A 25,085-nucleotide genomic window follows, 5' to 3' on the forward strand; every position below is an offset into this window, starting at 1 on the left:
CTGCCTCAGCCTCCCGAGTAGCGCAGACTACAGGTGCCCGCCACCACGCCCCAGCTAATTTTTTGTATTTTTTAGTAGAGACGGGGTTTCACTGTGTTAGCCAGGATGGTCTGGATCTCCTGACCTCATGATCCGCCCGCCTCGGCCTCCCAAAGTGCTGGGATTACAGGCGTGAGCCACCGCGCCCGGCCTAAAACCATACATATTTTTGCAGGCATCGACACTCAGATATACTAACAGATAAAACAGCTATGAGCGAATGAACCCTATTTATAATAAAGAAATAGGTTGAAGAGCAAAATGTATAAATGCATATCACTATGGTTGGTAATTCTGTGCACCCAGATTGATAATGCAGTCATTTGAAATACTGTGATGAACAACCCAAATCTTTACACAAAATTGAACAAAAACCTGATAGGTCACCACCACACCAATTGCTCAAAGACTTGAGATCTCGAGAAATTTCATCTTTCACAACTGCAGATGTACATAAAGGACATCTCTTCATTTATTGAGAAAGTTTCAACACTTTTACATATACACACAGTGCTTACTCACAAAGTCAATGTTGTGATAATGCACTTCCATAGAGTCACATTTGCATAAAGTCAATTGGAACTTTCTCAAAGTCTTTACACAATTTATACCTCAAGTATTGGAAATGATGAGATGAAATATACAGCATAGCGAATTGTAAAAGAAAATGCTGACAGTTTAAAATAGCAAAAAAAAAAAAAAAAAAAAAAAAACTAAAAAAAGATAAAGAAAAAAAAAACCAAAAACTAAATAGAAAATCCTGCATATGAAAAAGTGTATTAAAGGGATAGATAATGGGCATAGAGATAGTTCAAAAGGACTATCTTCCTCATAGGAACTATCTTTCTTCATAAGAAAGTCATAAGACTTTCACTATCATTAACTTGCATATTTTGAAGTCTGGTATCATGAGGAATAGGGGCTTTTTTTCTTTTAGGACATGACTTTCCTGGGAGAATATGTTCACATTTTCTATGTAGTGCTGCTCCTTTTTTTTTTTTTTTTTTTTTTTTTTGAGAGAGTCTTGCTCTGTCACCCAGGCTGGAGTGCAATGGCGCTATCTCGGCTCACTGCAAGCTCCACCCCCCGAGTTCACGCCATTCTCCTGCCTCAGCCTCCCGAGTAGCTGGGACTACAGGCGCCTGCCACCACACCCGGCTAATTTTTTGTATTTTTAGTAGAAACGGGGTTTCATCGTGTTAGCCAGGATGGCTTCAATCTCCTGACCTCGTGATCTGCCCACCTTGGCCTCCCAAAGTGCTGGGATTACAGGCGTGAGCCACCGTGCCCGGCCTCCTTTTTAAAATTGTTCTGTGATTCAACATACACCAACATGAGCATTTTCTAGTACGTTTTCCCATTTTGTATGCCATGCTTCTATGTTGTCTCAGGTATGTGGGAATCCATTCATCAGGAAAGGTAATGGGACTTCAACAGAGAAGGTCTGAGTGGGTGGGGTCAGCAGAGAACTAGGAGGCAAAAAGAAGGGTGTAAGAAGCCATTTGAAGATGCACGTCCCATACCCATGTCAGGGAACTCATTTCTGTGAGACCTCTTGGAAGCATCCACATGTCACCTCTCAGGGAAAAGAGCCACTTGAAACATGTCCAGAAGCCAAAGCCAGTGAATCCATTCCTTCTGGGTACACTCATTGTAGACCAGAAACAATACAGGTGATAGTACAGCAACAATGTTGCGTGTCTTCTTATCTTACCATGCACATAATTATTTTGAATCACTCAGTAACTTCGCTGGCTTTTTCAGGTAAACACAGCTTTAATTCATTAAAAGCTCCTGGAATGTCATCAGCTGGAAGGAATGCAATGAGGCAAATGACACATTTTTAAACTGAAGTTTTTGTTGTTGTCATATGGCATGGCCAATCTACTCATTTGAATTTTCTGCCGAATGCGTTGGAGTGAATGGAAAAAAACCAACTTTATAGGTAACACCTTGACGTTTACTTTTAGAAGCCTTGATCACACCTAATTCCAAATCTGTCATTATGGTTTGGGGATTCCATTGAAATCCATTTTCTTCTGCATGAAGAAAATAATGAGGTGATAGTTCCACCCAACATGATGCAACTATCCTGTGATTATGATTTTGGGGATTTTAGCTGTTAGGGATTTTAGACTTTAGGGATTTTCATCTTTCAGGATTTCAACATTCTGGATTGTGTCTTTTAGGATTATGATCCAAACCCCTTATGTTAATAAAATTAATATTTTAAAATATTTGCCTACTTCCTTGACAAAGGCTGAGAGATATGTTCATTTGTTCTACAACTGCGTTTTTGTCATTTTTTTATTTCCATTTTTAATTTTAATACTTCGACATAAGATTATTTGTCACATAAACCTTTATGATGAATATATTGTACTTCTGCCAATATAAAATGACCCCTGTGTCTCATTACTACCTGTAACATAAATTATACATTGTCTGGAATTATCTTGACCTCAGATGTTTATATTACTATTTGTCTTGTATAAGTGCTTGACTCTATTTTTGGCTTGTTTACTTGTTGTAGGTACAGTGTTGGGTTTTATTTTATTTCTCTATAGATTCACCCAAGAGCATTTATCCTTTAGTAAGTAATCTAGACCACTTATGATCAGTGACATATTTGGTAAGTTTGGTCTGGTTTCTATTTTTTTTTTTTTTTTTTTGCTATTTACATTTTGGTTTCCTTGTTTTGTGTTTTGCTACATGAACTATGTTTTATTTGCATTTATGTCCTTCAGTGTTTTGGAGTATATATATGGTAGACAACGCTTGGGATACCTTCTCAGGCCATGCCCCTTTGCCTAAGAATGCTCTCACACCTGTCTGAGTGAGTCCTTGGCAGCCATATTTGTATAATATAATCTATAACACTGGCACTGGTTGAGTGAAACTGGGTAGACATCTGACTCTGGGCTGATCAAAATCTCTCTCTCAGGTATTTGGACTGGGACCTTTTATGTGCTGGTCAGTTTGAGGTTCTCTCAAGAAATAAGAAAATATATACATAGGAGCTGTGTTTGAGCCTTCACACCATTCATAGTGGAAACTGAGGAGAAAGAAAAGAATAAAAGCCAAGGTGCAAATATATTCAAAAGTATCCCCAGAAGCTAGAGAGAGAGTGTGGGTGGGGGGTGGGGCCAGCAGGCAAGTAGAATGCCAAAGAAAGGGAGAGGGAGTGAGGAGAGAGACCTGCCTGATCACCTAGCTTGCCCATGGTTCTCATTTCTAAATCAACCCTCCAATGGGTTCTGCTATGCTTCCTGTCCTTAGATGCCATGAGCGATTCCAGTCGTATTCCGGTGGCACCAACCTGGTGTTGGCTTCTGGACATGTTTCAAGTGGCTCTTTTCCCTAAGAGGTGACATGTGGGTGCTTCCAAGAGGTCTCATAGAAATGAGTTCCCTGGCATGGGCCATTCATACCCAAATGGCTTCCTATACCCTTCCTTTTGCCTCCTGGTTCTCTGCTGACCCCACCCACTCAGACCTTCTCTGTTGAAGTCCCATTACCTCCCCTGTGACCCACTTGGGTTCATCCTTTACAAAGATGCCAGGCTGGCTCTTTCCCTCACATACTCCTGGCACACATCTGGTCCATAGGAAACATGTGCATTTTACTCTTTGTAGGTTGGAGTTTAGTTATTTACCAACCATAGCCCTCTATTGCCCAAGGCTGCTGGAGGAAGCCCTGAGCTCTCTCCACGGGTTTTCTTTCAGCTTCTCTCACTAGGCTTGAGGTTAGGGGAAGCATCTTGCCCCACAGGAGGAGCATAAATCACAGCACTTCTGACAAGTCTCTGTACAGTAATATTCTCTAGAATTTCCAACCTCAGACTTTTACAAGCATCAGGAGGCTGTTGAGCAAATGGTCACAAAGTTAGTTATTGGCCACTTCCTTTCCAGCTCTATGGTGATGCTTAGATGATCAGCCCTTTACTTTGGAATGGGTAAGTAGAAGGCAACTATTATTCTGGGGCTACAGACTAACTAATCAGATTTCCATTTCTACAAATACAATGTACACATAGACAGAATATTTTCTAATACTTATGCACTCACACAGGATAAGGGGCCATTATTTCTCCAAAATACACTTCATAAATAGGTTCAGTTGGTAATCTTTCACAACTCATAATAACTTGAGTAGTTAAAAGAATGATTCATTTTTTGAATGTTTATCCTCTTATTTGGCTTAATATTTCTTTTATGATTAAAATAAATAATACTTTACACTGTTGGTGGGAGAGTAAATTAGTTCAACCATTGTGGAAGACAGTGTGGTGATTCCTCAAGGATCTAGAACTAGAAATACCATTTGACCCAGCAATCCTATTACTGGTTATATACCCAAAGGATTATAAATCATTCTACTATAAGGACACATGCACACGTATGTTTATTGCAGCACTATTCACAATAGCAAAGTCTTGGACCAACCCAAATGCTCATCAATGATAGACTGGATAAAGAAAATGTGGCACATATACACCATGGAATACTATGCAGCCATAAAAAAGGATGAGTTCATGTCCTTTGCAGGGACATGGATGAAACTGGAAACCATCATTCTCAGCAAAGTAACACAAGAGAAAAGTAAACACCGTATGTTCTCACTTATAAGTGGGAATTGAACAATGAGAACACATGGACACAGGGAGGGGAACATCACACCAGGGCCTATCAGGAGAGATAGCATTAGGAGAAATACCTAATGTAAATGAAGAGTTGATGGGTGCAGCAAACCAACATAGCACATGTATACGTATGTAACAAACCTGCACGTTGTGCACATGTACGCTAGAACTTAAAGTGTAATAATAAAAATAAAAAAAGAGGTACCCTGCTTACATATCTCCCCATAGCAAGTCTCATAACCCAGCCTCTAAATAAATAAATAAATAAATGGATAAAAATTAAAAAATAAAAAAAATTTGTAAAAAAATACTTAATAACATTTTCTACTTGCTTATACCTTAGCATTTACAGCATGATTTCAGAAAAATGATTTTATTTCATCTTTACAGCAGTCCTTTAGGGTTCATCTCATCCTACAAAGCTGGCACAGAGAGACATTAATCCACATCCATTGGCTTGAAGTCCAGTGTCCCTTATTTTATATTGCTACTACAGCTTAAATAAATACATAAATACAAGTTAAGATAACAACAACAACAACAACAACCATGGCAATGGGACCCTGACTGGAAGAAAGATTTTGATTCCTGGTCACATCTCTTGAGGAGTGGACTATCACTCACAGTCCCATCTCAGCCACAAGCGTTGTGGCTGATGGCAGGCAGCAGGGAGGACGGGAGCTGAACAGATCAAATGACCCTCTTTATGCCAATGGGTCACACCATAATCCTAGTGAGGTAGGAGTGGGAGTAGGAGCATGTAAGAATTTTCTTTCCTGAGACCCCAAAACAAAAGCATCTCTCTTTATAAAGATTTCCAATGCTCTGCAGGCTTGTGAAGTTGTGAAGACCATGCGTAAGCTCAAGTCAAGATAAATAAGATATGAAACTACAAACATGAGCATCTTGACTCCCCTGCACTTCTCACCCATGGTGCCCCTCCTGAGCAGTGATTCCCACCCTGGTCCAGCTTTGATCCTACAGGAATGAACGTGCTTCCCACCTTCAGTGAGCTTCTCCTTTTGCTCCATCACTTCCAGCTGGAGTTTCCCATCCAACCTGTTTTGAATTAAGATTAATAAATGTATTTGAAATTGAAATCGTCTTTTCCCCTTGGCCTTATCCCTGGCTCTAAATTCTCACCCCAGTCTCAAGGCATGATAAATACATACATAATTCATGTATAGAATAAACCTATCTTCTCTGTTCACTGTATTTTTGCCATTTGCAACTTCCCTGTGCCTTCCAGCTTTGAGAGAATTTCCTGCCCGCTCTCACTCCCACCCAAGTCACTTAACAGTATGTTCTGTAAGTTCCTCCAAGTATGCTGACAGAGGTTGAACCTACTCCTTTTATTGGTTGTATAAGATTCTATTATGCTGATATTCCAAAATTTGTTCAAACCTTCCCTGCAACATTTCATGCTGCTTCCAATTTTTTTTCATAACAGATCTGTAATCAGTATATTTATCCCATATTTTTTTCCATATTTATGCTTACATATCTATGGGCTGGATCTCCAGGAGCCAATGCTGGGTCAAAGGCTCTGTCTACTTTTAATTTTCATGGATGTTGTCAAATTGCTTTCCGAAATGGGCTGAAACAATTTATATTTCCAACTGCAATTAATAAAAATTCTCTTTTCTCCTACATCCGTGCCAGTAGTAGGTATTATTTCTTACTGATTTTTACCAATTTGATGGTTGTAAGTGATATCTGGTTGTTAGCTTAATTTGTAATTTCTTTCACTGTGAGGGAGGTGGAGAATATTTCCACCTTTTTATTGGATTTATTCTTTCAATTATTTACTTTATTTGAATTTACTGTTCTATGAAGTATCTATTCATATTCTTTGTCCATTTTAAATGAGAGTTTTGTCTATTCATTATCAATATTCCTTTCTAATATGAAGATTTAACCTGCCATCCACATCACAAATATTACCAATATTTAATATTAATATATAGACAATGTATCCTTTCTATCAAACATTTGTTTTTTATTAAAATATGTTCTTCTCTCTTTGATAGTATATATGCATATTTTAACATTCCTTTTTTAGTCAATTGCTATTCATTTTTTGTATGAGTAGTAAGGTAGAGAGTTACTTTTTTTGAAAATATTAATTTCTTACAACACTAACTGAATCATCTTTTTGTTCCTACTAATTTATAATAGCACTTTCATTATATTCAAAAATTGTATGTGGCTGGGGGTGGTGGCTCATGCCTGTAATCCTAGCACTTTGGGAGGCCGAGGCGGGCAGATCACTGGAGGTCAGGAGTTCGACACCAGCCTGACCAACCTGGTGAAACACCATTGTATTAGTCCATTTTCACACTGCTGATAAAGATGTATCTGAGACTGGGCAATTTACAAAAGAAAGAGGTTTATTGGACTTACAGTTCCACGTGGCTGGGGAGGCCTCACAATCATGGCAGAAGGTGAAAGGCACATCCCACATGGCAGCAGACAAGAGAAGAGAGTTTGTGCAGGGAAACTCCCATTTTTAAAACCATCAGATCTCGTGAGACTCCTTCACTATCACAAGAATAGCGCGGGAAAGACCTGCCCCCGTGATTCAACCTCTCTCACCAGATACCTCCCACAATATGTGGGAATTATGGGAGCTACAAGATGAGATTTGGGTGTAGACACAGAGCCAAACCATATCATTCTGCCCTTGGCCTCTCCCAAATCTCATGTCTTCACATTTCAAAACCAATTATGCCTTCTCAACAGTTTTCCAATGTCTTAACTCATTTCAGCATTAACTCAAAAGTCCACAGTACAAAGTCTCATCTGAGAAAAGGCAAGTCCCTTCCACCTATCAGCCTGTAAAATCAAAAGCAAGTTAGTTACTTCGTAGGTACAATGGGGGTACAGGTATTGGGTAAATACAGCCATTCCAAATGGGAGAAATTGGCCACAACAAAGGGGCTACATGCCCAATGCAAGCCCGAAATCCAGCAGGGCAGTCAAATCTTAAATCTCCAAAATGATCTCCTTTGACTCCATGTCTCACATCCAGGTCACACTGATGCAAGAGGTGGGTTCCCATGGTCTTGGGCAGCTCCGGCCCTGTGGCTTTGCAGGGTGCAGCTTCCCTCCTGGCTGCTTTTATGGGCTGTCATTGAGTCTGCAGCTTTTCCAGATGCACAGTGCAAGCTGCTGGTGGATCTACCATTCTGGGGTCTGGAGGATGATGGCTCTCTTCTCTCAGCTCCACTAGGTGGTGCCTCAGTAGGGACTCTGTGTGGAGGCTCCAACCCCACATTTTCCTTCTGCACTGCCCTAGCAGAGGTTCTCCATGAGGGCCCTTCCCCTGCAGCAAACTTCTGCCTGGGCATCCAGGCGTTTCCCTACATCTTCTGAAATGAAGGTGGAGGTTCCCAAACCCCAGTACTTGACTTCTGTGCACTTGCAGGCTCAACACCATGTGGAAGCTGCCAAGCCTTGGGGCTTGCACCCTCTGAAGCCATGGCCCAATCTCTACATTGGCCCCTTTAAGCCACAGCATGCAGGGCACCAAGACCCTACGCTGCACACAGCATGGAGATCCTGTGTCTGACCCACGAAACCATATTTTCCTTCTAGGTCTCCAGGCCTGTGATGGGAGGGGCTGCCACAAAGGTCTCTAACATGCCCTGGAGACATTTTTCCCCTTGTCTTGGGGATTAATATTCAGCTCCTCATTACTTATGCAAATTTCTGGAGCCAGCTTGAATTTCTCCTCAGAAAATGGGATTTTCTTTTCTGTTACATTGTTAGGATGCAAATTTTCCAAACTTTTATGCTCTGCTTCCCTTATAAAACTGAATGCCTTTAACAGCACCCAAGTCACCTCTTGAATGCTTTGCTGCTTAGAAATTTCTTCTCCCAGATACCCTAAATCATCTCTCAAGTTCAAAGTTCCAGAAATCTCTAGGAAAGGGGCAAAATGCCACCACTCTCTTTGCTAAAACATAACAAAAGTCACCTTTGCTCCAGTTCCCAACAAGTTCCTCATCTCCATCTGAGACCACCTCAGCCTGGACCTTGTTGTCCATATTGCTATCACCATTTTGGGCAAAGCCATTCAACAAGTCTCTAGGGAGTTCCAAACTTTCCCACATTTTCTTGTCTTCTTCTGAGCCCTCCAAACTGTTCCAACTTTTGCCTGTTACCCAGTTCCAAAGTCGCTTCCACATTTTCAGGTATCTTTTCAGCAGCACTCCACTCTACTGGTAACAATTTACTGTATTAGTCCCTTTTCATTCTGCTAATAAAGACATACCCGAGACTGGGTAATTTACAAAAGAAAGAAGTTTATTGGACTTACAGTGCCACGTGGCTGGGGAGGCCTCACAATCATGGTAGAAGGTGGAAGGCATGTCTCACATGGCAGCAGACAAGAGAAGAGAGTGTGTGCAGAGAAACTTCCATTTATTTTTATTTTATCTTTTATTATACTTTAAGTTCCAGGGTACATGTACACAACATGCAGGTTTGTTACACAGGTATACATGTGCCATATTGGTTTGCTGCACCCATCAACTCAACATTTACATTAGGTATTTCTGCTAATGCCATCCCTCCCCCCGCTCCCCACCCCCTGACAGGCCCCAGTGTGTGATGTTCCCCACACTGTGTTCATGTGTTCTCATTGTTCAACCTCCACCTATGAGTGAGAACATGTGGTGTTTGGTTTTCTGTCCTTGTGATAGTTTGCTGAGGATGATGGTTTCCAGCTTCATCCACATCCCTGCAAAGGACATGAACTCATCCTTTTTTGTGGCTACGTAGTATTCCATAGTGTATATGTGCCACATTTTCTTAATCCAGTCTATCATTGATGGACATTTGGGTTGGTTCCAAGTCTTTGCTATTGTGAATAGTGCTGCAGTAAACATACGTGTGCATGTGTCTATAGGAGAATGATTTATAATGCTTTGGGTATATACCCAGTAATGGGATTGCTGGGTCAAATGGTATTTCTAGTTCTAAATATTTGAGGAATCACCACACTGTCTTCCACAATGTTTGAACTAATTTACACTCCCACCAACAGTGTAAAAGTATTCCTATTTCTCCACATCCTCTCCAGCACCTGTTGTTTCCTGACTTTTAAATGATCACCTTTCTAACTGGCATGAGATGATATCTCACTGTGGTTTTGATTTGCATTTCTCTGATGACCAGTGATGATGAGCATTTTTTCATGTGTCTGTTGGCTGCATAAATGTCTTCTTTTGAGAAGTGTCTCTTCATATTCTTCACCCACTTTTTGATGGGTTTTTCTTTCTTGTAAATTTGTATAAGTTCTTTGTAGATTCTGGATATTAGCCCTTTGTCAGATGGGTAGATTGCAAAAATTTTCTCCCATTCTGTAGGTTGCCTGTTCACTCAGATGATAGTCTCTTTTGCTGTGCAGAAGCTCTTTAGTTTAATTAGATCTCATTTGTTTATTTTGGCTATTGTTGCCATTGCTTTTGATGTTGTAGTCATGAAGTCTTTGCCAATGCCTATGTGTGAATGGTATTGCCTAGGTTTTCTTCTAGGGTTTTTATGGTTTTAGATCTTACATTTAAGCCTTTAATCCAGCTTGAATTAATTTTTGCATAAGGTGTCAGGAAGGGAACCAGTTTCAGCTTTCTACATATAGCTAGCCAGTTTTCCCAGCACCATTTATTAAATAGGGAATCCTTTCCCCATTGCTTGTTTTTCTCAGGTTTGTCAAAGATCAGATGGTTGTAGATGTGTGGTGTTATTTCTGAGGGCTCTGTTCTGTTCCATTGGTCTATATATCTGTTTTGGTACCAGTACCATGCTGTTTTCGTTACTGTAGACTTGTAGTATAGTTTGAAGTCAGGTAGCACGATGCCTCCAACTTTGTTCTTTTTGCTTAGGATTGTTTTGGCTATGTGGGCTCTTTTTTGGTTCCATATAAACTTTAAAGTAGTTTATTCCAATTCTGTGAAGAAAGTCATTGGTAGCTTGATGGGGATGGCATTGAATCTATAAATTAACTTGGGCAGTATGGCCATTTTCATGATATTGATTCTTCCTATCCATGAGCATGGAATGTTCTTTCATTTGTTTCTGTCCTCTTTTATTTCCTTGGGCAGTGGTTTCTAGTTCTCCTTGAAGAGGCCCTTCACATACCTTGTATATTGGATTCCTAGGTATTTTGTTCTCTTTGTAGCAATTGTGAATGGGAATTCACTCATGATTTGGCTCTCTGTTTGTCTGTTATTGGAGTATAGGAATGCTTGTGATTTTTGCACAGTGATTTTGTATCCTGAGACTTTGCTGAAGTTGCTTATCAGCTTAAGGAGATTTTGGGCTGAGATGATGGGTTTTCTAAATATACAATCATGTCATCTGCAACAGGGACAATTTGACTTTCTCTTTTCCTAGTTGAATACCCTTTATTTCTTTCTCTTGCCTGATTGCCCTGGCCAGAACTTCCAACACTATGTTGAATAGGAGTGGTGAGAGAGGGCATCCTTGTCTTGTGCCAGTTTTCAAAGGGAATGCTTCCAGTTTTTGCCCATTCAGTATGATATTGGCTGTGGGTTTGTCATAAATAGCTCTTATTATTTTGAGATATATTCCATCAGTACCTAGTTTATTGAGAGTTTTTAGCATGAAGCGTTGATGAATTTTGTTGAAGGCCTTTTCTACAACTATTGAGATAATCATGTGGTTTTTGTCATTGGTTCTGTTTATGTGATAAGTGATGTTTATTGATTTGCATATGTTGAACCAGCCTTGCATTCCAGGGATGAAGCCAACTTGATCGTGGTGGATAAGCTTTTTGATGTGCTGCTGGATTCAGTTTGCCAGTGTTTTATTGAGGATTTTCACATCAATGTTCATCAGGGATATTGGTCTAAAATTCTCTTTTTTTTATTATGTCTCTGCCTGGCTTTGGTATCAGGATGATGCTGGCCTCATAAAATGAGTTAGAGAGGATTCCCTCTTTTTCCTTTGTTTGGAATAGTTTCAGAAGGAATGGTACCAGCTACTTTTTTTACCTCTGGTAGAATTCAGCTGTGAATCCGTCTGGTCTTGGACTGTTTTTTGGTTGGTAGGCTATTAATTATTGCCTCAATTTCAGAATCTGTTATTGGTTTATTCAGAGACTCAACTTCTCCCTGATTTAGCCTTGGGAGGGTGTATGTGTCCAGGAGTTTATTGATTTCTTGCAGATTTTCTAGTTTATTTGCATAGAGGTGTTTATAGTATTCTCTGATGGTAGTTTGTATTCCTGTGGGATCTGTGGTGATATCTCCTTTATCATTTTTTATTATGTCAATTTGATTCTCCTCTCTTTTCTTTTCTTCTTTATTAGTCTTGCTAGTGGTCTATCTAATTTGTTGATCTTTTCAAAAAACCATCTCCTGGGTTCATTGATTTTTTGAAGGTTTTTTTGTGTCTCTATCTCCTTCAGTTCTGCTCCAATCCTAGTTATTTCTTGCCTTCTGCTAGCTTTTGAATGTGTTTGCTCTTGCTTCTCTAGTTCTTTTCATTGTGATGTTAGGATGTCAATTTTAGATCTTTCTTGCTTTCTCTTGTGGGAACTTAGTGCTATAAATTTCCCTCTACACACTGCTGTAAATGTGTCCCAGAGATTCTGGTACGGAGAGTCTCTGTTCTCATTGATTTCAAAGAACACCTTTATTTCTGCCTTCATTTCGTTATTTACCCAGTAGTCATTCAGGAACAGGTTGTTTAGTTTCCATGTAGTTGTGCGGTTTTAAGTGAGTTTCTTAATCCTGAGTTCTAATTTGACTGCATTGTGGTCTGAGAGATAATTTGTTAGATTTCTGTTCTTTTACATTTGCTGGGGAGTGTTTTACTTCCAATTATGTGGTCAATTTTAGAATAAGTGTGATATGATGCTGAGAAGAATGTTTATTCTATTGATTTGGGGTGGAGAGTTCTGTAGAAGTCTATCAGGTCCACTTGGTGCAGAGCTGAGTTCAAGTCCTGGGTATCCTTATTAACCTTCTGTCTCATTGATCTGTCTAATATTGACATGAGGGTGTTAAAGTCTCCCATTATTATTGTATGGGAGTCTAAGTCTCTTTGTAATTCTCTAAGGACTTGCTTTATGAATCTGGGTGCTCCTGTATTGGGTGCATATATATTTAGGATAGCTAGCTCTTGTTGTTGAATTGATCCCTTTACTATTATGTAATGGCCTTCTTTGTCTCTTTTAATCTTTGTTGGTTTAAAGTCTGTTTTATCAGAGACTAGGATTGCAACCCCTGCTTGTTAGATCTTCCTCCATCCCTTTATTTTGAGCCTCTGTGTGTCTCCGAACATGAGATGGGTCTTCCAAATACAGCACACTGATGGGTCTTGACTCTTTATCCAATTTGCCAGTCTGTGTCTTTTAATTGGGGCATTTAGCCCATTTACATTTAAGGTTAATATTTTTATTAGTGAATTTGATCCTGTCATTATGATGTTAGCTGGTTATTTTGCCCATTAATTGATACAGTTTCTTCATAGTGTTGATGGTCTTTACAATTTGGCAAGTTTTTGCAGTGGCTGGTACCAGTTGTTTCTTTCCATGTTTAGTACTTCCTTCAGGAGCTCTTGTAAGGCAGGCCTGGTGGTGACAAAATCTCTCAGCATTTGCTTGTCTGTAAAGTATTTTATTTTTCCTTCACTTATGAAGCTTAGTTTGGCAGGATATGAAATTCTGGGTTGAAAATTCTTTTCTTTAAGAATGCTGAATATTGGCCCCCACTCTCTTCTGGTTTTTAGATCTCTCTGCTGAGAGATCTGCTGTTAGTCTGATGGGCTTCCCTTTGAGGGTAACTCAACCTTTTTCTCTGGCTGCCCTTAACATTTTTTCCTTCATTTCAACCTTGGTGAATCTGATAATTATGTGTCTTGGGGTTGCTCTTCTCAAGGAGTATCTTTGTGGTGTTCTCTATATTTCCTGAATTTGAATGTTGGCCTGCCTTTCTATGTTGGGGAAGCTCTCCTGGATAATATCCTGAAGAGTGTTTTCTAACTTGGTTTCATTCTCCCCATCACTTTCAGGTGCACCAATCAAATGTAGATTTGGTTTTTTCATATAATCCCACATTTCTTGGAGGTCTTGTTCGTTTCTTTTTACTCTTTTCTCTCTAATCTTGTCTTCTCACTTTATTTCATTAATTTGATTTTCAATCACTGATATCCTTTCTTCCACTTGATCAAATCAGCTATTGAAGCTTATGCATGCATCACGAAGTTCTTATGCCATGGTTTTCAGCTCCATCTGGTCATTTAAGATCTTCTCTACACTGTTTATTCTAGTTAGCCATTCATCTAACCTTTTCCCAAGGTTTTTAGCTTCCTTTTGATGGGTTAGAACATGCTCCTTTAGCTTGGAGAAGTTTGTTATTACCAACCTTCTAAAGCCTACTTCTGTCAACTTGTCAAAGTCATTCTCTGTTTATTTTGTTCCATTGCTGGTAAGGAGCTGCAAACCCTTGGAGGAGAAGAGGTGCTCTGGTTTTCGGAATTTTCAGCTTTTCTTCTCTGGTTTCTCTGCATCTTTGTGGTTTTATCTACCTTTTGTCTTTGATGTTGGTGACCTACAGATGGGGTTTTGGTGTGGATGTCCTTTTTGTTGATGTTGATGCTATTCCTTTCTGTTTGTTCATTTTCCTTCTAACATGTCCCTCAGCTGCAGGTCTGTTGGAGTTTGCTGGAGGTCCACTCCAGACCCTGTTTGCCTGGGTATCATCAGCAGAGGCTGCAGAATAGCAAATATTGCAGAACAGCTAATATTGCTGCCTGATCTTTCCTCTGGAAGCTCCATCCCAGAGGGGCACCCGCCTGCATGAGATGTCTGTCAACCCCTACTGGGACGTGTCTCCCAGTCAGGCTACATGTGGGTCAGGGACCCACTTGAGGAGGCAGTCTGTCCATTCTCAGAGCTTGAATGCTGTGCTGGGAGAACCACTGCTCTCTTCAGATCTGTCAGATAGGGACGTTTATGTCTGCAGAAGTTGTCTGCTGCCTTTTGTTCAGCTATGCCCTGCCCACAGAGGTGGAGTCTAGAGAGGCGGTAGGCCTTGCTGAGCTGTGGTGGGCTCCACCAGTTTGAGTTTTCTGGCCACCTTGTTTACCTACTCAAGCCTAGCAATGGCAGATGCCCCTCCCCCAGCCAGGCTGTAGCCTTGCAGGTCAATCTCAGACTGCTTCACTAGCAGTGAGCAAGGATCCATGGGCATGGGACCCACCGAGCCCGGCGAGGGAGGGAATCTCCTGGCCTACCAGTTGCTAAGACCATGGGAAAAGTGCAGTATTTGGACGGAAGTGTACCATTGCTCCAGGTACAGTCTGTCATGGCTTCCCTTGGGTAGGAAAGGGAAATCCCCTGACCCCTTGTGCTTCCCAGGTGAGGCGTTGCCCTGCCCTGCTTTGGCTCACCCTCCATGGACTGCACCCACTGTCCAACCAGTCCCAGTGAGATCAAGCAGGTACATCAGTTGGAAATGCAGAAATCGCCAGTCTTTTGCGTCGATCTCGCTGAGAGCCGCAGACCAGAGCTGTTCCTATTTGGCCATCTTGGAAGCGACTCCAAAACTTCCATTTTTTAAACCATGAGATCTCATGGGACTCATTCACTGGCGTGAGAATAGCACAGGAAAGACCCACCCCCATGACTCAAACATCTCCAATGGGTCCCTCCCTCAACACATGGGAATTATGGGAGCTACAAGATGAGATTTAGGTAAGGACACAGAGCCAAACCATATTAGCTTTCTCTACTAAAAATACAAAAATTAGCCCGGTGTGGTGTCACAGGCCTGTGATTCCCAGCTACTCAGGAGGCTGAGGTACAAGAATAGCTTGAACCCAGGAAGTGGACATTGCAGTGAGCCAAGATCATGCCACTGCACTCCAATCTGGGTGACAGAGCAAGAAAAAAAGTCATATGTGTTTTAGGGTCTGTTCATGGGCCATTATGACTCAGTGAGTCAGCTATTTTTATAACAAATCATATTTCAAATTTGGTAAGATAAATTCTTCCTCTCCTCTCCCAACTCATCTTTTAAAAAACATGTGAGATATTTAATTGTGTTAATTCAGGTAAATTTTGAAATAACATTTTAAAATTTCACTAAGATTTTGATTAGAAAGGCATTACTCATTTATACTGTAATTTAGGGACTGGCAGCATTTTAGCTGTTAGGAACAAGGCTAATGTATTTAGAAAAGTCTGTATTCAGGACTTAGTTATTTTTATTTACTTGTCTTTATATTTTTTATTAGCTACTCTTACATATTTTAGTTATTTTCTATCTTTGAATCAAACCCCCTCACTTTTAAAAGTATATAAACGTATTTTAAATTTCAGAAAAATTTTAAATAAAAAGTTATCAATGATTCTGTGCTATGAGGCTGTGGAAAAAACTATAACTGAGAAAGGTTTGGGAAGATTTGAAAAATGAAGTCCTCTAAAATAATAAATGACTCCAATGAGACATCTGTTTGAATAGGCAACTGGCTAGCAGCCTGCAGTGTATTCTCCCTTGATGGGTCCCTAAAATATCTATGAAGACACAGGAAAGCTAAGACAGTCAGCTGACCTAATGTTAGATTCTGAGAGGAATTGACACTAATTACATGTCAGATGACACAGGACTGAGAAAAAGGCAAGCAGGGCTTATCTCATGGAAAATCTTGGCTTTGTTTAATGAAGCGGAAACTGTCTGAGCAAAGAGTGGAGGGTGCTTTGCATCTCCTCCACCATGCATACCAGGAAGCAAGGATTTAGGGCTTGTGCTAAAAAGGGAAATGGTGCATTCATTCTTCTGCCTCTAAGATGCTGATTGCGGGGTTGACAAGCATGCTATCTGCCCCGTTGCTTCTTTCTCTCTCATCTTTGTTTATCTACTCATTCAAAGACCTAGAAAAAGATTCAACCAAACAGCAGGGCCTAGTGTTGGCCCTGTGTAGAGAAGGACTTCATGTAACTCTCAGTAATAAGGCAGCCATTCCTTGCTAATCTTCAGGTGCTACTTTGTATAGCAAGTAGACTGCTATTTCAGCACACCTCCAATCTATTACTGCCATCCCAATTCTTATGGCCATCTTTCCATGTTCCAGCAGAGACATCTTTTATGTGCAATAGATGTGGAGGGATGAATTTGTGGCACACTCACATTGTTGTCCAGGAAAGCCCTCTGTCTTGACTGTTTACTTATTTATCCATCCCCTTCCATTCCTTATTCACATTCCTACTCCCCAGTAATCCTCTTGTTTTGAATGGAAATTATAAAATTTTAGATAAAGAAACACATCAAAATTTTCCAGTTGTTAATGCTTTTGGCATTGTGTCTGAGAAGGCCTTTGCAGATACCTGTTATCTGGACCTGCTATCCACAGCTGTATAAACTGTAAAAAGTCAGAAACTGCTCACCAGTGTTGGACAGCAACCAACACAGTGCTATATTTTTGGAGAAATGAGAAGCATGGGAGGTGAGCTCCATATTTACTCAGACTTACTCCCTAAGGGCATTTTCCAAACCATGGCACAGAAAAATAGAGTCCCCGCATACAGCAGTAATTTCATACAATAAAATAAACAAAGATGGGAGTTTGGATTGCTAGGGTGGCTGGGATTTGTGTGGTTGGGCACTGGATGAGAGGAAGCTGCAGAAAGGAAGCTCAAAAAAATCAGTTTGAAAATATTGCTTGTTTCCTCAGCCAACTCCAAAGCTGTGCATGCCCAAGATGGGACTGTAGAAGGCAGAACTCAACAGCACTGAGAGGCCAAAAGCTGAATAGATATTTTAGAGGTCAGAGTGGAATATGTTAAAATTTTGGCTAGTCGGAGTGGAAGGACTTTGGTAAACACTTCTGAGAACCCAGGAAGGCCATACCCTAGGAGGAAGGATAGGCTCCAGAAATAAAACAAGTTTCTGAAAAATTAGGCCTGGGGGGGAAAGTGCCTGGGGTGCAAACTTGCATGACTCAGAATGAAGACCTCGTTTGATGATGTGCTCTGGGTGCCTCATGTGCTGCATCTTAGTGTTGGTCCTGTAGAGGAGGACTTCATGTAACTCTCGGTAATATGCTAAAGCAAACTCAGGAAAAGATGGATAAGATGGGTGAACCAAAAAGTATTTTAATACAGAATTAAAATAATCAAATGGATATCTAATAATTGAAATATTGGAAATAAATGAAACAGTGAATGAATTAACCTCGGGCTGGAGAGACAGAGTAGAAATCAGAAATAATGAGTTCAAAAAGAGATTGGTATAGCTAAATGGAAGCATAGAGAGAAAAAAAATGAAAAACAAAACACCATAATCCTAGAGATAGAGGGTAAAAGCCATGTAGGACATAGAAGGTTTAACAGAAGTGTAAGTGGGGTCCCCCCAGAAAGAGGAGAGAGAGACTGAGGAATTACATTATAATTCAAAAACAGGAAGATAAATTGAAAATCTCTCAGAATTTTTTTTAAAAACACACTTGTAAATGACTCATAGATCAAAGAAGCAATTATAATAGAATTTAGTAATTACTCTGAGCTGAAAGGGAATAATTAAAATAAGAGTAAATGAAAAAGAAAACAGACATATAATAGAGAAAATCAACCAGGTCAAAAGTTGGTTCTTTTAAAAAACATTGATACATCACTGGTAAGATGCTACAAGAAAAAAAACAAGAGAGAAGGAAAACACAAATTACCATCGTATGTTTAAAAGAGAACAATTACTACAGATTTGACAACATCTAAAGAATGATGCAAGGATATTCTAAAGAACTTTATGCTATTAAAATTGAAAATCTAAATGAAATGAACAAATTCCTTGGGGAAAAAAACTTATCAAAACGAACACAAGAAGCAGCACAAAAATTTAAGTATTTAATATCTTCATAAAATGAATCAAATATCATCCCACAAATAAAACTTCTGGACCAGATGGCTTTACTGGTGACCTCTCCTGTACATTTAATACAAAATTTATTAATCTTACATAAATTCAGTGACCTCTCCTGTACATTTAATACAAAATTTATTAATCTTACATAAATTCTTTCTGAGAATAAAAAGGAAAACATCTTTTCATTGTTTTACAAAGTGAATATAATCTTGATACTACAACCACATAAGGACATAAGAACAAAGGAAAATAAAAGCTGATGTCTCTCAAGAACAAATTATTAGCAGCCAACATTTGGCAACATAAAAAAGAGATAATAAATCATGTTCAAGTAGAGCTCATTCTGGGGATGAAAATTTATTTTAACATTCTGAACTCAATAATCACCACATTTAAAAATCAAATGAGAAAAATTATGAAATCTGATTTGATGAAGAAAAAGCAGTTGATAAAACGTAACACTGATTCATTTTGAAACCCTCAGCAAACTAGGAAGAGAGAACTTTCTAATTTTAAAAAGAATATCTATAAATATTACTGATAGTGATATACTTAATGGAGAAATATTAAACACTTTCTCCCTGATTTTAGGAATGCAACAAAGATGCCCCATATTCCCACTTACATTCAGTATTGTAGTAGATGTTCTAATCAGCTCAGTGAAGTGAGAAAAGAAGCAAAATATGTAAAGACTGGAAAACAGTACAACAGTCTTTATTCTCAGATAACATTGGATAGAAAATTCAAAGGAATCTAGAAATGAACTATTATAGTCAATAAGTGAATGTAACAGGATTTCTGAATTCAAGGTCAGCATAAAAACAATATTATTTCTGAATGCTAGCAATAAACAATTAGAAAATCAGATAAAATGTCATTTATAATACACTGAGAGATATGCAGGACCTCTACATTGAAAATCATGAAACATTGCTGATATTAAAGAAGACCTAAATAAATGGTGTACTATTTATCTGTTGCTGTGTATAAAATTACCACAAACTTAGTAACTTAACACATATTTATTATTTCACAGTTTGTGTGGGTCGGAAACTTGGGCACAGCTAAATTGGGTTATCTGCCTCAGGTTCTTACCAGTTTGCAAACTAGCTGATGGTAGCAGGGCTCTCAACTGGAGACTTGACTGGAAAAGAACACACTCCCACACTTACTTAGGTAGTTAGCAGAATTCATTTCCTTGTAGTTGTAGAACTGTGTGCCTCTTTGCTAGCTGTCTGCTGGAAGTGATGCTCAGCTTCTCCAGGCTGCTTGCAGTTCCCTGCCATGTGGCCCTTTCCTTAGGCAGTTTACATGATGGCAGTTTGCTTCAAAAGTAAAACTAATAGTAAGATAGAGCCTTATAATAATGTAATGTAGTCAAAGCAGTGACAGCCCATCATCTGTGTCATGTTCTATTGGTTTGAAACAAGTTCCAGGTCCCACCTACACACAAAAGAAGGGGATGATAGAAAAGAATGTACCCCAGGAGGTAAGGATCATGGAAGCCATGATCATATATCAGGTGCATAGACTAAAAGACTTATTTGTTTATCTGGCAATTATTTTAAAATTGATCTATGTATTCAGAACATCACAATCAAAACTTCTGCAAAATTTTTGGAGGTTGGCAGATTTCTAAATTCTAAAATTATAGGGAAATGCAAAGGACCTAAAAGAGGCAAGGTAATCTTGAAGAAAACAGGAAATTTTCACTACCAGATTTCAAAATTTGCTATAAAGCTACAGTAATTGAAATACAATTAGCAGGCTGGGCGTGGTGGCTCACACCTGTAATCCTAGCACTTTGGGAGGCCAAGGTGGGCAGATCACTTGAGGTCAGGAGCTTGAGACTAGCCTGACCTACATGGTGAAACCCTGTCTCTACTAAAAATACAAAAATTAGCTGAGCGTGGTGGTGCACACCTGTAATCCCAGTTACTCGGAAGTCTGAAGTGGGAGAATCACTTGAACCTGAGAGGCAGAGGTTGTAGTGAGCCGAGAGTAGGCCTGGGCGATAGAGTGAGACTCCATCTCAAAAAAAAAAAATAAATAAATACAATTAGCACTTGATCAATAGACAAATATTCCATTGGTATAAATTAGTCCAGAAATAGACTCACACATATTCTGTCACTCGATTTACAACAAAGACACTACTGTAATTCAGTAGGAAAAGGATGATATTCTAAAAAAATAATGCTGGAGCAATTTTATATCTGTATAAAGAAGAAAATGAACCTTGACTGTTGATGTTACACAATACTCAAAAATTAATTTATGGTGGATTATACCCAAATAATACTTAGATCTTCTCAAAGAAAATATACAACAATATCTTAACAACCTTGGGGTAGCAAAGCCAGCACTAGCAGCATCCTATAAGCACTAAACATAGTGTAATTTTAACTCTGGTTTAGTTATGGAATTATGTTTATCAAACAATGTCATTAAGAATGTGAATAGGCAAGTCACAGACTAAGAGAAGATAATCACGATAAATTTATTGTCAAATAACATGTACTCAGATTATATAATGAATTTCTACAATCAAAAAAGAAAAGACAGATGTATTAGTTCCTTTTCATGCTGCTAATAAAGATATACTCGAGACTGGGTAATTCATAAAGGAAAGAGGTTTAATTAACTCACAGTTCCACATGGCTGGGGAGGCCTCACAATCATGGCAGAAGGCAAAAGAGGAGCACAGTCACGTCTTACATGGTATCAGGCAAGAGAGAGCAGGTATGGGGGAACTCCACTTTATAAAATCATCAGATCTCATGAGACTTATTCACAATCACAAGAACAGCATGGGAAAGACCTGCCCCCATGATTCAATTATCTCCCACTGGGTCCCTCCCACGACATGTGGGAATTATAAAGGCTACAATTTAGGATGAGATTTGGGTAAGAATACAGCCAAACCATATCAATAGATATTTATTAAAAATGGAGCAAAGTTTGAATAATCTCCTCACAAAGGAGGGAATTTAAGTGGTTAATACGCATATTAAAAGGTGCCCAACTTTATTAATCACTAGGGAAATGCAAATTAAAACCACAGTGTGATACTTCTACACATCCATCAGAATGTCTAAAATTAAAAAGAGATAGAAAATATCAAGTTTTGGTGAGGATGTAGAACAAATTGCAACTGGTCATGGGTGGTTGGTGGAAATGTAACTTTGTTCAAACATGTTGGAAAAACTGTTTGGCAGTTTAATAATACTAAATATACGCCTACCCTATAGGCATGCGATTCCATTCCCAGGTATAGACCCAAGAAAAATAAATGCATATGACTACAAAAAGAGATGTGCGAAATGGCCATAGCAACTTTTTTCATAATGGTCCCTAAGCAGGAAAAGAACTCCAGTGTCAGTTGGAGAAAGGATAAACAATTGTGCTACATTCATGCAATGGAATATTGCACAACAATAAAAAGAACTCAGACACACACAACAACGTAGATGAATCTCAAAAACATTTGTTAAGCAAAAGAAGTCAGACTCAAAAGAGGAGATATTGCCTAATTACATTTCTATAATGTTCAAGAATAGTCAAAATTAGTCTAATAGTTGCCTGAATGATGGCTGGAATTCTTTTCTTCCTGAGAAAAAGCACAAAGGAACTTCCTGGGGTGGCAAATATCTATATATAGTTTGATCTTTGTAATAGTTACACAGTTGTATATATGTGTAAGCTTTGCATAAAGTACTAATTTGTGAGATTAAAAACAAACAAACCAAAAATGAATAATTTTTCTATCCTTGAGGCATGAAGATATGTTCTTATAATAACTTCTATTAACATTTTAGTTCTATCTTTCACCTTTAGGTGTTTTATCTACCTATAACATTTGTATACGATTTTAGGTTAGGATCCAGTTTTATTTTTCTTTGCGTAGTGATCACCTTCTTTTTAGCTCCTTGACTTAGTTTTCTTCTTTATAATGCATTAGTTTCCATTTATAGGTAGATCTATCTCCAAGTTCCCAGTTATGTTTTATTTGTTTCCATGCCAGTCCTATACTGTTGCTATTACTGTGGTATGTCTTAATATTAGGGAGAGCAAGTTCTTCCTCTCAAAGTTGCCTCCTATTTAAAAGTTAACTTAGCTATTCATAGACCTTTATTCTTCAATAGACACTTAAAATAAATCTATCAAGTCCTTTACAAAACTTCCAGTCAGAATTTTGATTCAGATTGCATTGAATTATGTTTTTTATTTCGACTCCTATAATTTTCATATTTTATATTTCATTTGGTTCTTTTTATGACTTCTTCCTGCTTCATATTAATATGCTTCCTTATGCCTTAGAGGTATTATTATGCTTATTTAAAATTCTTTGCTCAATGATCTAATAACTCTCCTTTCTGCAATCTGTTTTTTGCATTTGTGATTTTTTAAGTGGTTGTGTTGTTCTCTTATCTATTCTTTAGACCTATGACTTTAAATCTCCCTGGGAATATCAGCTGCCCTATGCTGTAATGTATGCACAGGCAGGGTCAAAACACACACGCTAGTTCTCATCATACTACAGAGTTTGGAAGAGGGAGAATAAGGAGTGAACCCACAGAACTCCATTGATCACTACCTCTTTGCCGCCTCTGTGCCAGTCAACCCTTTGTCCAAGAAGTCATCTATAAACCCACCCAAAGAACAAGCACCCCATCAGGTCAGGAGTTCAGGAGGGGGAAGAAGTATGGTGGATGCCAAAGGCCAGGGCTGGTTGTCACATCTGGTTCCATTGGCTCTGCAGGCCTTTTATGAAACTCTGATATTCCTCTGATTGGGGGATGTCCTATGGCAACAGAACCTGCAACAGCTGTCTTCCAGCTGAATGGAACAAGCAACAGCAGAACATACCCTCTTCTTGATGTTCTATATCTTGACTGACACGTGGTTTATGTCGAGTATGGGTTTGCCAAACTCACTGAACTGTACACTTGAGATCTGTTAATTGCACTGTATAAAAATTATACCTCTGAATGACAAAAAATCCACCACTATCATCTTTATTTTACTGTCACTGAAATTTAATCTGGAAAGGCCAACTATTAAGCTGTAAAACTAAATTGGATTTATAAATATTAGAAAGAAAGATGTAATGTTATTTTATTTGTTCTTATCATTTTTCCTCTGGAATCCCCAAAACTCATTGAAGAAAATATTAGAACTACGGAGAGTTTAGTAAGGTTGCCAGTTAATCAATAAGCCCACGCTGATCTATAACCAGGGTCACAGTTCAAATGCTTGCAGCATTTTCCCATAATGAAAATGAATGAAATAAAATAAACTGTTAGGAAGGTAATACAAATTTTTTCTTTTATTGAATTTTGGTTTAAACAAGCAATATAAACATCTGTGATACTGAAGATTATATTTTAAATTTGAAATAGAAAAATACAAATTGATAAATTGGAACAATTTTGTTTTATAATTTTTTTCTCACTTGGGGAATGCTGATTTAAATCTGAAAAATATGACACATTGTGTATTAAGATATAAATACCAAGTTTTTTGTTTCCATCTTAATGTGTAGAACAGAATTCAACCTTGAGTTCTTTAACTGGGAGCAATATTTTGTTTTATATAGTTTCATATTTCATAATTGAAAACAGCTGCTCACAAATTTAGGAAATTCCTAACCTAACAGAATACTTACACAATGATTTTTCTATTCTGTGAAATCACACCCAGATATTTGTAGAATTGTGGAATTCTGATGTAATGTTGTAAATATGTACCACAGTACTGTACTGAGCTCAGAAACTTTCATCTGTAGCTCTTCCTTCAGTCTTATTCTGATAAAGGTGAAGGGATCACTTAGTTGTTTTCTCAAAAGCGGAAGTTAGGATATAGTGGACTGTATGAACAATATGGTTTCAAGGTTAAGAGCATTAACTCTGTAGCCACACTGCCTGGATTCTACCCTGGCTCCAACACTTAGGAATTGTGACCTCGGACCAATTTCTCAACCTCTCGGGGCCTCAGTAAAGTGGTCTGTAAGGTGATGACAATAACAGCACCTACATTAGAGGAAGGATTAAATTAAATATGTAAAATTTTGGGATGATGCCCAGTGCATTGTAAGCCCATTGTGTTAATTATTAAAAGAACCTGTTTTTAAATTCAGTCTTAAACCTCACTATTTAGGGAATATAGTTCATGCTAGCATATTTTTGTCTTTGGAATTTGATTGCAATGTAGAAAAATCCACCAGACCCAATTTCATCACGTCTAAGCGTGTCAAACAATAACTGGGTATCTGTCTATGGAGTCTCTTATAGGGTATTTTCAAAGTATGTAGGACTATTTGTCAAAGCAAAGGCCATGTCTTTGGTTGAGTCTTTGTGAACTGATGTGGAGAATATCCCTTGGATGAGCCAACAAGTCAGTTTGTTTCTAATATTCTGCTAAATTACTTCCCTCTGCACAGAACAGCAGATTACTGTAATGTGTATTGAAGGCATCAAGGACAGCAGTGAACATTTGTCCAAGGGTCAGGC

The 25,085-nt window shown here is 38.7% G+C and overlaps 1 annotated feature.

The window, feature by feature from the left end:
* Positions 14,768-15,967: an enhancer, noted in NCBI's record as "MED14-independent group 3 enhancer chr7:42410696-42411895 (GRCh37/hg19 assembly coordinates)". NCBI's record gives its function as "activates an origin of replication core promoter dependent on BRD2, BRD4, P300/CBP and CDK7 cofactors, and independent of MED14, by STARR-seq in HCT116 cells {active_cell/tissue: HCT116}" and the evidence as "EXISTENCE:reporter gene assay evidence [ECO:0000049][PMID:35650434]".

The sequence above is a fragment of the Homo sapiens genome, chromosome 7 (assembly GCF_000001405.40).
Source record: "Homo sapiens chromosome 7, GRCh38.p14 Primary Assembly".
Classification (NCBI taxonomy): Eukaryota; Metazoa; Chordata; class Mammalia; order Primates; family Hominidae; genus Homo; species Homo sapiens.